Raw genomic sequence first — 15495 nt, forward strand, 5'->3', positions numbered from 1 at the left:
GATAAATCTTATCAATTTAGGCATTTGCTACCAATGGGTAAAGTTATTAAAAGAACTTTTACCTAATAAGTACTCAATTGATTATTTATCTTATCTATCTCCATATTTGCCTCTAAAATATGTGTGTGTGTGTGTGTGTGTGTGTGTGTGTGTGTGTGGTAAAATTAATGAAGGAGTTCCCATCATAAAAAGGTATTAATTTAAAACCAAATTGGGAAAAACCTGCATTGCCTGTATTGTGAGTCTTACTAATGGCTTTTATAATAGGCATATCTGGGAGAGGCTCAGGAGAGATCTTAAACTGAGGTAGATGGGCATGTTAAAGAGAAGCAAAGGTCCATTCCACTTGCCCTCTACAGACAGGAGGATGCTTAATTCACTCAATAGGATTTTGGCAAATGAAATAACAAAGTGGCATAGCTTCTTATGTTCCAAAAGAAACTTTAAATTTGAAGTCTCAGATAACTCACACTCTAAAAATATGAGGATCCCTTCCAGAAATGTAGCCATGCCAACAGTGCTCACAGGTACAAATGCTATCTGCTTAAAGCAGAAGAAAAGGGAAAATGGGAAGCAGAATATCCTGAATATTCAGTCTAAATTTGAGTGATTTTGGCCACAAGAAATCTACTATCACCAGGCTGTCCATTACAATTCTAAGAGTAAAAAACGAAAATTCAGACCTTCTTACGATGGATCGTATAGTCAGGTGGAAGGTGGCAGAGTGAAAAGCCGGCCCAGTTACTAGGGCCAGGAGTCATTACAGACACTGACAGTGATGCTTCCACAGGTACTGGACCCAGACTGCCTGGGCAGTCTGGGTCAGTGTCAGCTTGTGTGACACTGGCTGTCACACCACTCTATGCCTCAGTCTTCTCATTTGTTGAACAAGCTTAATAGAAGCTACTTCATGGGCTTGTTATGATGATGAAATGAGACAATAAAATTGCTTAGAACAGTAGTTGATTATTATTAATATTGGTCAGGTCAAATATGCTTTGCTGGCCACAGTATGTGCCATGAGCTTGCTTGGTGGTGGGCAAGTACCAGGCAGTACACACATGGCTTAGGCCCTGCTCAAACTCTTTCAAGAGATGGACGGCATGGCCTCTTGGTCACAAAAGTGGTTCTTCAGAGAATCAGGTTTGTGAAGGGAAAAAAAAAATGCAGCAGTCCCCCTTATCTGTGGTTTCACTTTCCACGGTTTCAGTTATCCAAAGTCAACCATAGTCTGAAAGTATGAAATGGAAAATTCCAGAAATATGCAATTAATAAGTGGCACACCATTCTGAGTAGCATGATGAGTTCTCCCAACCAGGACGTAACTCCTCCCTTTGTCCAGAGTCTCCAAGCTGTCTCCTCTGGTGCCATTATTCAGAGAGTAGCCTTCCTAGTTATCAGATCAATGTTGTGGCATCACAGTGCTTGTGTTTGAGGATTCCTTATTTTACTTCACAATGGCCCCCAACGTGCAAGAGTAGGTGATGCTGGCAATTCACACATGCCAAAGAGAAGCCATAACGTGCTTCCATTCAGTGGAAAGGTGGAAGGTCTCAACTTAATAAGGAAAGAATAAAAACTGTATGCTGAGGTTGCTATGATTTATGTTAAGAATGAATCTTCCATCTGTGAAATTGTCAAGTAGGAAAAATAAATTTGTGCTAGTTTTGCTGTTGTGCCTCAGACTGCAAAAGTTATGGCCGCAGTGCATGATGAGTGCTGAGTTAAGATGGAAAAGGCATTACATCTGTGGATGGAAGAGAAACATGTTCCAATAGATGGCAATCTGGTTCGGTACTATCCAAGGTCTCAGGCATCCACTGGCGGCGGGATGGGGTTTCTGGAGAATATCCCCCGAAGATAAGCAGGGACTACTATAATACCAGTCTTTCTGCCACCTGTAATTCAGAGATATGTAGGCCCACTTAGGCCAAACAAAGAGAGGCCTCTAAAGTCCAACCACCTCAACAATGTTCCACACGGAGCTCTGAAGCCAGAGACCCCACTGTCCTGTAAAAAAGTGTTCCTTTGCTTTGCTTTATTTTCTACACTCTTATTTCCCTTGGGTTTGGATGTCTGGTAGAATGAAGAGTTTGATATTTCTTAGCACTCTTTCTTTCCATATGCTTTCCTTATTTCCTTATCACTAAAACCCCACTCTTCTGAATTTTAATATAAAATCAAGTAGGCTTCAGCTGTCAGAATAGCATTACTTTTTTAATTATCAGTTTCTAGGATGGGGCTTTATTTTCTTTTTAGGAGTCCTGTGTTGGAACAGGCAAGTCATTACCATTAATAAAACCAAATCCTAGTGTTTCATTGGTATTCCAGCTCTCCATAGGGTCCTCACACAAGCAAATACATATTTGATTCCAATGGGGCTCTTTTCCTGTGCAAATGCTACAGGATTCTGCATTTTATTGTGGCATTAAGCTAAATTGGCTGTCCAAATGAATGGAGACACTTAGAATTTTACCATATACCAAACTGTCTCAGAGCTTATCTCCTCTACAAAACATATTCCAGTTAGCATTTGCCAGGAATACTTTACTCAACACTAATCAGGAAAAACTTAATTTTTTTCAGGCTACTAATTGTGCAGACATTGTTCTGGTTATTTCATTTGGGTTCTTATATATATATTTTTTTGCATGCCTCTCACCTGTTTCCTCAATTGTCTCTAAGCATTTTAAAGGCTGAATCTTATTAATTTCACAGTCATTTTTGCTGTTTAATATACTCATTCATTTCACAAATATTTGTTGAGTACCCACAATGCTCAGCTATTATGGGGGTAAAAAGTTGGACAAGGCAATGTATCCTTTCCCCAAAACTCATAGGTTCTACTTCCATACAGTAAAGTATGTAGGGTAGAAGATTAAATAATGTTATAATGCAGTTACTTTTCCTGAATGAGAAACCTTTTTTAATCACTCCAAAGTAGCCATAACTTCACTTCAAACTCCAGTGAAATTATTTTTTTTTCTCTCTCTCCACAGGATAGTGGCCAAAGCCTCCAAGAACCTCATGTCCACGCAAAGCTTGGGGATTGTATTTGGACCTACCCTTCTGCGAGCTGAAAATGAAACAGGAAACATGGCGATCCACATGGTCTACCAGAACCAGATAGCTGAGCTCATGCTGAGTGAGTACAGTAAGATCTTCGGCTCAGAGGAAGACTGACAGACAAGACAAGCTACTGAATACGTTCACATCTGTCTTGATGCCTAATATTTTTACATTTCTGTAAACATATTTCTGAAATATTTTTTGCCTTTCAAGCGACAGATGCCTCATTTTGTGAAAACTTAATGATGATTTTGTGTTTAAGTTCCAAACATTTGAATAAAATAATTGACAATATTTGCCTCTATGTGTTCTACATTAACCCCTTTGGTGCTATGCCTTCTAGCACTTCTAGGAGCACATCATGCATGCCTCATGCTATTAAATAATATGCAAAGACTAGCACATATTCAAAAAATGGCCTTAATGCTGCTCCAGGGAATTGGGTGTGTGGTTGTGTATGTGGAGATGTGAGTGAGTGTGGTTGGGAGTAGGGGTGCATGTGCACACATGTGCTTTCCCAAGATCCAGGCTGCCTTAAACATGACTCCATACTGTTACTTGGACACGGATAGAACACAAAGAGGTAGGAAGGCAGAAGCTATTAATTTGTAAATTGAACGAAGGAGATCAGGTTCACAACCAAAACATATATATTTCATCTTTCCAGAACATTTTTGTATATATAAATATAGTCCAGCTATTTTCAATGCTATACAGTGAAATTTATAAATATAACATGTTGAATGGCAATTTTTCTCAAGAAAAATGACAGTTCAAAGCATTTGCCATTGAATTTTTTATAAATACAAATGTAGTCCCATAAACACACTATCTTATAAATTAGAAGCAAAATTAGTGCCCTGCAATTTTGATCTTTATATTACACAGGAATTGCATGACTGCTCATTTTTAATGCTAACATCCATTTTGAATCTTCATCAAACTGTATATCTTCCTTTTCCCTGGCTATGTCATTTTATGTAGAATTTTTATTATACTTCTGAGGATGCTTTATTGGTGAATTACATTAAATCCATCTAGAAAGAACTTTTTTAAAGCCTTTTTTTTCATATGCCCTAAGGATTACTTGACTAGACTTAGATTGCTTTATCCATTTGATAGTTTCAGTTGTCATGGATAAACAAAAGGGTAACTGTCTAGAATATATCAAACATTGTTTTATTTTGAAAAGTATGTTCTAGTTGAACACATCTCATACTGGTTTTATGAAAGTATTCTGCTGATAAAAATGTAGACTTACGTTTGACAGCTTTTTAATCAAATTCAAACAGAATAAATAAAACTAATCCAGTGTGATAAAGAGTAAGTATAGTTATCGATTTGTTCATAAAATGAAAAATAAAACATGTAAATAAAACGGGTGAAGCACAGATCCAGAGCAAACACTTAGGGCAATAATGAGCTCCACGGCATAGGCTGTCTGTTTAGATGGGGTATTCAGGAGACGGGGAGAGTCTGCTCAAGAGATAGCCAGATGTGCAGGCAGCTCCAACATCCATGGAGCTGCCTGAGGAAGCAGAGGACTCCCTTGTCCCTTTTGAATGTCTTCATTTTAGCAATGGCGCCAGTAAGTGGGCTTGTAGCCAAGAACAGAGAAGCCACCACAATAAGTGCTGAAGTGCAGTTTCATCCAGTGGGATGTATACACATACAAAAAGCTGAAAAAAAGTCGCATGAAGCAGAACTCCATGATCTGAAGTCACCAGTAACAGTGGGCTGGCAGACTTGCTAGCTTTAAGTGATTCTTATAAGTAAAATTGTAATTATGCCTTTCAGAAAAACATGGAGACATGAAACAAGAGTTTCTGGCATTCTATTTCAAGTCGTTCTCATTTCCATGCCATTCCGTATTCTCAATTAGGTCTTTCCCAAGACTTTGATTACTTCCCTTTTTGAAGCGTTGGGGGAGAGTAGATTTAGTGGTTCTAGCATTAAAATCTTATCCCTTCACACGTATCCATCTTTAAAGTTATTCTGGAAGCATCAGCCAGAGAGAACCAGCACTGAAAGCCAAAGAGAAGTGGCACTACCTGCTTTGGGCAGGGACTCACAGCCCCTTGTCTCTGTTGCTTTCCAGATTTATAATCTTCAAAAGCACCAGCTTCTTGATTTCCAATCTGATGGGATTTAGCCTGATTCAAACCCCAGCTGTGTCCTGTCCCTGCCTGCTAAGGGCATTTAATCAGAGAATGTGTTTCCTCTCTGGGAAAAGGCCATTCCAACGTGCTGAGCCAAAGTGCCCATCACAGGATCTGACCTAACACACTAAAGGCATAAAAAGGGTTACACCAAAAAGTTATTATTAGATTCCGTAACATCTCAAATACAGTGATGACGGCCATATCAAGTCTTCCATGTTTAGAAGCTGAGATTATAAGTATACTAGGTTGACTAAAAGGTTAGATTTCATATAACTGGTCAATATTCTCCAGCAAGAAGTCATGAAACACCAGTGAGCATTTCCTTATCTCCTAGTTTGAACCAGGCAAAATTCTAGGCACTGGTGACACAAATATTAAATAAGACAAATATTTCTACCCTCTGTAGTTTCAGCCCAGTGAGGGAGACTATCCCTAACAATTAATTACAGTTCAATACAAGATCAGGTGCCTTAGCCATCTTGGTAAGCGTGTAGACCCAGGATTCGGCACCTATACTTAAAGATGCTCAAAATGTATTGTTGAATGAATGGGCAAACAGAACAGAAGCTATTCCAGACATATTAACAATGCTCAGTGGCTGACAAATACCAAAAGACTCAGTTACAGGCAGTAACTGTCCTCTGACTCTGTTACAGAGTTAGATGTGGCTTCATTGGGAAGGTAACCTTTTCTATCTAATCTTGACCAATGAACAAGATTTACCAAAGAAAAATGCAGAAAACACACCAGGAAACAGGAATGGCACGAACAGAGTCATGAAAGACCTGACATTCTCCAAAGAAAAGTGAGAAGTTCAGTGAATAAAGGGTGAAGTGCATGCCTAGCAATTTTGGAATATAAAGCTAGAGAAAGATGTTGGGATCAGATATCAGCCATGATAACATATTCAGATTTTATCCTGTAGGCAAAAGGGATCCCATAGAGGCTGTAAAGCCAGAAAGCTATAGAGAAACTTTGTTTCTTAGAGAATCTCTAAATTCACCAATGGGCAGGAAAAAAATTAATTTGAGGAGACCAGCATTTTCTCATGTATGTGTTTGTGTGTGAAATAAAATTATAATCTTATATTCTTAGGGTCAGTTCTAGTTATGATGATGAAACATTTTAAGAAATTGTAACTTAGTCTGTAGAATGGAAACACAAGTCCCTAGAAAATCAAGCTAGTTATTATGTCCCATTTCAGCACGCCTTTACCTACCCAGGATATCAGAGGTTTCCCCTCTTTCTTATTGACACAGAAAGCTGCTTGGAGATGGTATATATTTCATCTTATATGTTGACAGTCTGACTTTCTTAGCATGTGCCATATGACAGGATCACCATGCCACAACTAGTAATTGAAAGCCATATGATGGTTCTCCCTATCCAATTAGAAAACAAACGATCCAATTAAGAAAAATTTTAAAAGCTGTTAAAAGGAAGCAATCACTTGCCAATAGTGCTGTCCTTACAGTTTAACACAGCTAGAAATTGACCTGTACTTCTCTTTTCCACATTTATTTTTGTGAATTATAAGTTAATCACCCTGTCAATTCCTAATTAAAAGGCCCTGCAAAGATTTTCATCCAAAAAGGACTGTTGCTAAGGGTTCTGGGTCAAATTGCTCTGTTGTCAAAAATGAGGAATAAAACCAAAACAACATCAACTCTCTCCCAGGAAACTTACATCTTAATACCAAAAAATGAGGACTTTCTGGAAATATAATAATCACATTTTATATTTTCAACCCTGTTTGATCTTATCTTTAGAACACAGATGTCTCCTTTTTTCTCTTTCTTTAAAACAAGGGTTGCAAATTCAGATGCCTAGTGGGGCCGGGCAGTGATAGAAACGAGTCAAGAGGAGCAGGCAGCAGGCGTATGAAGCAGCAGCTGTGGAAAAGTCAAGCTTAACGCCTGGCCAAAAGGGTCGGCTTCTACTCAGCTGGAGCCGATGTTGCTTATGTGGGAATGTGGGCACAATGTTGCCAGACCTTCAGCTCTTTCATGAAAAGCCAGAAATTCAGGATCTTGTGTGAAATCTGTTTTTTAAGGGCACCAAATAAAACACAGCTCTGTGGACTCAGCCCAAGGACCTCAGTGTCACAAAGTTTGCTCCCCAGAAAGTGGCCGCACACGGAGCAGATTGTGGGGATGAGGAGCCCGAGCAATGGGAAAGAGCAGAAAACGTGTACACTTTGCACTTAGGAGAACTTGCTGTGTCGACCCTGAGCAAATTACTCACTCAAGCTGGGTATCTGTTTTCTACTTGTCTTATTTTGCCTTTCAGGGCTATGTAATGGAATCATATGAAGGAAATTAAAACAGGTAATACACCATGAAATTCCAAGTTATTCCTAAAAGATGTGGATGATGGATTTCCAGTTTATTAACTAATAATAACTTTATGTTCTGAAAACAATGAGAAGGAAGGTTGGGACCAGACTCAAAAAAAAATCCTGAATGCCGTACTAAGATGTGTTATCCTAAGTTTCTAGTCAATTTTGAGACCCTGAAGGTCTTTTTTTAGCGGGGAAGTAACTTTATCAAAGCTGTAAAGATTCTCATGGCAACATTATGGAGTGGAATTTGAAGCAGGAAGAAATCATAGGCACCATTGCCAGACAGAAGATTATTGCTATAAGACTGTTAATGCAAGTCTAAATTCAGAGAGCAGCAGCAGATAGAGAAATTGATATTATGGTGCATCATACTATTAAACTTCTTCAGGGCCTTACCTGCCATCTCTTCATTATGACTGCTAAGTGCAAAGACCATCTCTTGTTATGCAGAACTCCCATACCAGGCCCGTTTCTGACTTACTCACTGGGTTGCGATGGAGGTTAATTCTAGATTCTGAAAGTGATTTGGCATTTGACAGTAACCATTTTGGCCAAGTCATGCCCAAGTCAATGAGTGTGCATGCTACCAGCATCATCCCCAGATGATCGTAGGGTCACTTCTATCATACCTGGCTCTGACCTCTCCCTCCTTTTTCTTGAGCCAATATTGCTCCTCTGGCCACCCAGAGGATCATCAAGAAATTAGTCCTGGGAAGATTAATTTTGATTAGCTAACATTTATAGAGCACTTGTTATATGCCATGAACTGCAATTGATATATATTGTTTTATTTAATCTTGATAACTCTACGAAGGAAGACACTATTATCCCTGATTTATACTTGAGGAAATTGAGAGCAAAAAAATACTGAAATTACCAAGTTCATGTAAGTAGTATATGCCAGATCAATATTTGAATCTAAGTAATATGGCGCAGAGGCACCTGCCTTAACCACTGTACCATATGATCACTTAATTAGGAAAAGATGCTGAAAAAAATGTAAGTGCATAAACATCCCCAGGTATTTCTACTTGTGTGGGTGCCTGGTCATTCTGTTAAAACACCTGATGAAAGTTTTACTTTCATATGAATTTTCATAAAAGAATAAGGGGGATATTACACAATTTTTTCAAAGAAATACAGAGTACCTCTGTTCTTATGAGTAGATGGTTAATCTCATGCATGTTATTTCTATAATTTTAATATTTGTGTAGCATTTTGTTTGCCTACATGTTTTGCAGACATTGTACTAATTTTTTACTGCATTATGGAAAGGACAGAACAGAAGCCTCTTTACCCATCTTTACAGGTACCTGTTGGGGTAGCTTCAACCCCATGTTATGTTGTATTATGCTGTGTTGGATCATATTTGTCAGTGTCCTGTTATCATCTATCATACCTTACTATCTAATATTGTATTGAACTTAAATCTGGCCCTTTAGGGGTCCTGTGAAAGATGAAAAATGTGGGTCCCAGCAGCCTTCCTCTTAAATATAATTGAAAAAGAGGCAGGCATCAAGACATGTCATGTCTCATGCTGCCAGAAAGTGATCTTGAATCATTTAAATGATGAGAATACAGTGAACATTTTGTACAAAAAGATGACAATTTTCTGTAGTAGTGTTGTCCAGATGAAAATGCCTAGCTGTCTTGGTAAGAGACCTGAAGAAGGATATACACACACACACACTCCTTATAGACTTATACAACTGATTTTTGCTATTTTATGCTTGAAGCAAAGTATGCAGGGTCCACAAAACTCTTAAGCCATCAGTAGGATTCTATACAACACTCCCCATTCAATAAGGAGAGCGCTAAGAAAGCAGTAAGTGAGAGTGGCAACACCATGCCCGTGCTTGGGGCTCTGTGCACACTTGATGGATCAGTGAACCAAGACAAAAACCCAGAACACTAGCAACATTAAATACAAATATGATCCACCGTCAGGTTTCCTATCAAGTTAAATGTAGCGTCTTATGTGCAGCCAAATCAGTGGTATTTGTGTTGACTCTTAGTCCCACCTAAACAAGGGCCATCAAACAGACATTCCTTCAGCTACCTCTCTTGAAGTGCAAGTCCCTAAGAAATGCTTACTAAATCACAGAAGCAGTGGAGAGATGGTAAGATTCACCAATCTAACCCATGCAAGTCTGACAGCAAATTTTGATGTCCCGGTTCAAGTCAGCTGGGAGGAGGAGGGGGTCTTAGGCATCTGTGACACCCAGCAGCATCTTCCACTAACCTTCTCTCCACTTATCAATGTGTGGTTTACATGTCAGACAAATGTTATAAGGCATAGGCATTCTGACCAACATATGAAAATCTCAAAAGCCAAGGAATCTGGAAAATACAAGGCAGTGGCCTGAAAATCCTCACTTTCCTCTGGCACTATTTTCGCTAACAAGTTTACTTGACACACATGCACACACACACACACATGCACACACACACTGGAATTTTAAGAGCAGGAATGTAACCATTGTGCTAACCATTCTCACATCACTCGCAAAATGTGTTCTAAGTCCATATTGTGCAGCATACTTGAAGACATGTGGATTTTTCCACATCATTTGGTGACATTTTACACAGTTTAATTTCTGCTCTTTCTTGCTAGACCCTACCTTTTTTTTCTCTCACAAACATTCCACCAATGGGATTTTCTTGAGCATTTTATCCTGCGCTCAGATTCCTCCCTTTTCTTCAGCATCTACTTGTATCGCTGCTGCACAACTTTGCCATGATGTGTCTGTCAAATTTCAGCCTCCCAGATTGAAAAGAAGGGGACACAGGTGTTCAACTGCCAAGGAGAGAAACCAGGTTAATGGAGTAGGGGCCGGCCTATGGGGCCGGCCTAAAGGGAAACCTCACAACCACAGGCAGAGGCCAACATGGAAGACTCCAGAGAAACGTGGTCCAGCTCGGGATGTTCCATTCCTCCATTCTCCTCACCAGACCAGGTGAAAGGCAGCTTTTAAAGTTGGAAGGAGTGAGGAATACAATTGAAACCAAAATTGGTTTGAGCTCACTATTTTTCTAGCTATCAGTTCTGAGGTCACAGTCACTAAAACTGGAAACTTAAAAATGACTTCAAAAAGGCAAACGCTAACTAGATTTCACACTGGATTTCATTTTACTTGGCATTACAGAAAGAATGCAGGTATTAAATACACTGTTTCCTGTATACAATAAGGTTAATTAGTAGTGAGGGATGGAAAATCAGTGTAGACATAACTCTTTTCGACAGGTATCAAAAATAATCCCCTGATCCCTACAGACCCCAGCTGCATTGAAAGAGGAGTAATATAAAAGATTCTTTAAGCACAAAATTTTCAAACATTCTCCAGGTGTCCCCAGCACCAGTTAAATAGGCCCTGAACCCCCTGTGCATGGGCTGGCTCCCGCTCCATTCCCTGGCTCTAACTTAAAGGCGCAGCTACTCACATTGAATTTTCAGGTGCTGCGTAAAAGCTCTCCATACAAAGCGGCTGGGATTGCAAACGGAGACAGACAGGAGAACAAAAAGAAGAATATATTGCGCCCTGCCTGGGTCTTCCCTAAGCTCCTTATCAATAAGGTTAATAAGGGTCTATGCAATTTACTGATCACTATGATGCAACAACCCTCCTTGTGCTCCAAATCTCCACGTAGGCGCTGGCTTTTAATGCTTTTCTCAGCCAATCACATAAAAGCGCTTTTGCCCGCACCCCAGAGAATAAACTCCGGTTCACGATCCTGGCCTCTGTAAAATCTCTGGTCCGTTATTACACTTCTACCTGCCCTAGTTAAGCAGATTAACAGTTATTTCCTAGAATTTGATCTATGAGGTTCTTTGTAATTGAAGCTGGAGTACTCAGATATTACTAAAAAATGTATTTCTGAAAAACGCATTCCTTTTTTCTCTGGTTTAATTTTGTTATCCTCAATCATATGCATGATATTAAAAAAATCCAAATTTCTATCTCCTCTATAAAATACATGTCATATCAAAAAGGTGACAAGAGGGGGGAAAAGTAATTAGTGAGTTCACGGAGTTCAGTAGAAAAGTTAAAATGGAGTAACACATTACTTTTTATGTTAAGATTTCACAAGACAAGTCTTGCCTGTGTTTTAATTGCATGTGACCCTGGCAGTCCTACTCTGAAATGAAGTGCCGTAAAATTAAAGATGACAGACGCTCAAAACAAGTCTTGTGATCTTGATTAAACTACAAAGACCACACTCTCTCTCTGCTGCAACTCAGATATCATGGGCTGTTTTATTTGGGGAATTGCTTCATTAATGCCTTCTTTGACTAGACATGTTTATTATATTAAAAAAACTGAATATGGTGATATCTCGCATAGCTAAATAATTCCCCCTAAAATGCAAGTTACAAATGAAGAGTGTTTAAATATCCTGCAGACCTAATGCTTTTATAAATGCTCACAATTATATATCTATATATCATATGTATGTGTGTGTATGCATGTGTGTGTGTGTATATATATATATACCACAATCATGAATAATTGAATATGGGCATGTATGGATATATATGACCATATTCATCCTTGAAACATGAATTACCTATGCTAACCTAGGAATCTCTACTATAGTCTGAGAAGCAGAGCAATTATTCTACTATATTTTCTTAGCCATGTAAAATTTCCCAGGCCAACAGAATGTAAAGAATTTTACATTATCCTATACAGACAACTTCTGAGAAAACACTGGAATTTTAAAGTTCCCAGGTATAGTCTGAGAAGAGAACTGGATTTGATTCACACCTGATTTTTCAAAATTATTATCAAGACATTCCATCTAAGTTATATAAAACATAGAATAGATGCTTTTAAATCCTGCTTCTTCCCCTGGGTGGGAGTGGGAAAAAAAGCAGAGTTGAGAGCAAGTCCTTATTTCATTCTGCTGTTAGTGTCTCTCCCATATGTCTCCACTCACCAGGTCTTGTTCAAATCTCAAGCCCTCTGGGACAAGTCCTTGTCCTCAACAAGGACCTTAACAAGTAGGTGAGATTATTCATGTCTAGGGTCTCCTACATTCTAAAGTTCTACGATCCTGTTATTTTGTCCCATTTCAAGAACACTATTTTTAATTCATGTTCCAATTCGTCAATTTTATTTCATTTTAAGAAACAAGAAGACACTATATTTGTAATATACACTGGCTATGTGGGTGTTAATATCTAACAGGGATATATGGATTCACCTGAGAATCAGAGCTGGGAAATCTGGTTTCCAGAATTCACTTTTTCCTGGAGTATTCATCATTCCAGATAAGTCTCCATACACATGTCTCAATTTCTTCATGTTCAAAACACATATGGCAGTTTTTGCCCTACCTAACAAAAAGGGTTGTTGTGAAAATAAAATACAATACTATATATTAAAAACTCTTTGAAAAAAAGTATGACTGATGCTTCCCAATCAGTATTATTTTTACAATTTTTCTACCAATGGCCTTCAGTAAACACAAAAGCTTTTGCATTTACAAGCCAACTGACCCTTTAACTTACACTGTTCTTTTAAAAATCTTCATGCTTGCCTTTAAAATGAAATGCTTGTTCCTGTATGTTTTTTCAACACTGTCAAAAATCCTCAGGTGAAAGATATATCATGTCTTTCATATGGGAGATTTTTATTTGACAGAATAACTCAAGATTCTGGACATAAGAAAGTGTTTATTAGAACCTAATTATGTATAGCATTGCGAGATTATGTTCGGCTAAGAGAACTGCAGTTACATCTACTTTCAGCCTCTCAGTCTCTCTCTACTTCCGAGTCTACTCTCTTCCGTGGCTCTTTTATCTTTTTCTATCTTGGTGCCTCCTTCTCTGTTTCTCTGTGTCTCTTTATTCCCACTCCATACCCTGACATTCAGTACAGGAATTTTAACATAGGTTTCGTGGGTCCCTGGACCCCTGGACTTCAACAGATGCAGGAAATCTCAAAACCTTCATGCTAGATTTTTGGCACATTTTTCTGGAGTCCAAGTCTGGAGTTTTCATCATATTCTCAAAGAGGTCTGTAACTAGGAATTACTGTTCTAGATCCATTTCCCAGCCTATCAATACTGCTATCTTTTGTCTAAATTGAACTGTAGATGGGTCACTGTCAATCAAATCCCAAGTTCTAACAGGCCATGAGGAGTCTCCACGGCTTTCTGTCCAACTGCCTGACAGTACAACCAAGTCCAAGGAGCTAACTATAGATCCAACAAAATCAATTAGTACATATCAAAAAAAAAATATTCAATCCTTAGAGCAATTCCCATTTATAATTGATAAAAATAATAAATAGGGTGCACCCATGAAATTAAGATACTTTGCCTGTTATTCAACAGAGGATATTTAGAGTTTTAAGAATAAATCCAACAGTAACACAAGTGGTCCATTTTCACAATGCCCAAGTGAAAACTGTGCCAGACACATGTCCTGTGCCTGCGTGGTACTTCTACACCATTAGCTGCCACAAATCAAAGAGAATGTCATTGCTTTTAATAGGATTACATAGAACCCAGTAACAAGCAGGAAGACTAGCATTAGACTGAGTAACTGGCCAGTAATTTGGATGTTTAACCAACTGATTGGCTGCCAAATTGACAGGTCATCCACACTGAACTAGCCACTATTCCATGAATTTTCATGACTAAGATCACAATGGTTCATTTGCATGTGTGAAATTCCGCTGTGAAGCTGGCTTTTGAACTGGCTAGCTCAGCCAAAGACGTGTTTCACAGCACCATGCATTAGTGCCCCAGAAATACCATCGCATGAGGGGAGCATAGATCTTCCCAGCCCCTTGTATGTAAACACAATCTATAACTAGGAGGGCCAATCAACACAGATGGTAACAACCAGAAGGTAAAGAATACAGAGGAAAATTGGAACATTAGAAAACTAAGATTAGCAACAAAAATGAGCATTTGGATGAGAAAAGTTTAAAGTCTTCGGGTCTCCAGAAAAGTTTCAAATTTGCATGCGAGTGCTGCTAAGGGTAACTTCTTACACAGCAAGTATCCGGCGCATATCTGGGCATCCTTGTCATTATCAACAAACAGTTGTTAGCCACCACTTATGCACAATACAGTGGGACAGACATGAGGACAACAAGCACAGACCCCATAAAACAAAGCCTTTTCCTTAAGGGATTTATTATGTAGTCATAGAAGAAGAGAGGTGAGGCAAAAACAAAAATCATAATATCCCACACTTACTACCAACTTACCACATGGTAGTTATCTTGCAACAAACAATTCCGTGATGTAGGCAGTAAGGTAATGAATATTTCAAAGATGAGAAAATGTAAGCTTAGAAAAGTTACATCATTGCCGAAGGGAATAGAGCTAGGAAGTGACTTTGAGCCAGGTATTTCTACCTTTTGACAAATATTCTTAGCTCCTCTGTACCAAAAAGATAAGCAGTGTTAGAGTATTACCCCAAATATATTTACTTTAACATTATTATAATAGAAAAATAATATAAATATATAGTAATATAAAATCAAATAATTACACAAAGGAACATTTATATGATGAAATATTATGGAGACATTTAAAATCAGTTGTGTTTAAATACTATTGACAGGAGAAATTTGCTCATAGAAAGGAGCAGGTTATAAAATCATAGGTACAATATGCTATTGTTTATATGCTGTAATATGTGCGTACACACACAACAAAATATTAGCAGTGGTGATCCTCTGGTTGTGAGATTGTCAGTAATTAATTTTCTCCCATTGCTCCTGGCACATCTTCAAGTTTTTACTTTTGGCATTTGTTACTTTTATAATTAGAAAAAGCCCAAGTATAATTTTAAAATATATAAGTGGTAATTTAAGGCTATATATGGTAATTGATACAGACAAAAAGTTCTGAAGAATTTCAAATGAGATCATGTTAAACAAGGGCCTGGATAAACCAGGAGAG

The 15495-nt window shown here is 38.4% G+C and overlaps 1 protein-coding gene and 1 long non-coding RNA gene across 8 annotated transcripts in view, besides 1 other annotated feature; one reads left to right on the plus strand and one right to left on the minus strand.

Annotated features, from left to right (window-relative positions):
• ARHGAP15 (Rho GTPase activating protein 15) overlaps positions 1–3363 on the plus strand; it is a 638934-nt gene extending 635571 nt beyond the window's left edge. For all 7 annotated transcript variants that reach the window (XR_007078554.1, NM_018460.4, XM_017004500.3 and 4 more), the window contains one exon: positions 3000–3363. Coding sequence is in view for 6 of the 7 variants with exons in the window: in NM_018460.4 (NP_060930.3) it covers positions 3000–3183 (184 nt within the window). In the remaining variant the exon portion in view is untranslated. The remainder of the gene's footprint in view (positions 1–2999) is intronic.
• Positions 1–11109, minus strand: part of ARHGAP15-AS1 (ARHGAP15 antisense RNA 1) — a 135343-nt gene extending 124234 nt beyond the window's left edge. The window contains exons 1-2 of the long non-coding RNA XR_007087251.1: positions 11014–11109; positions 10194–10369 (exon numbers count right to left, since the gene is read on the minus strand). This is a non-coding gene — a long non-coding RNA (ARHGAP15 antisense RNA 1). The remainder of the gene's footprint in view (positions 1–10193; positions 10370–11013) is intronic.
• Positions 14505–15098: an enhancer, noted in NCBI's record as "H3K27ac hESC enhancer chr2:144537063-144537656 (GRCh37/hg19 assembly coordinates)". NCBI's record gives its function as "activates a minimal SCP1, AML or CMV promoter by ChIP-STARR-seq in primed H9 embryonic stem cells {active_cell/tissue: H9 hESC(primed)}" and the evidence as "EXISTENCE:reporter gene assay evidence [ECO:0000049][PMID:30033119]".

The sequence above is a fragment of the Homo sapiens genome, chromosome 2, assembly GCF_000001405.40.
Source record: "Homo sapiens chromosome 2, GRCh38.p14 Primary Assembly".
NCBI lineage: Eukaryota > Metazoa > Chordata > Mammalia > Primates > Hominidae > Homo > Homo sapiens.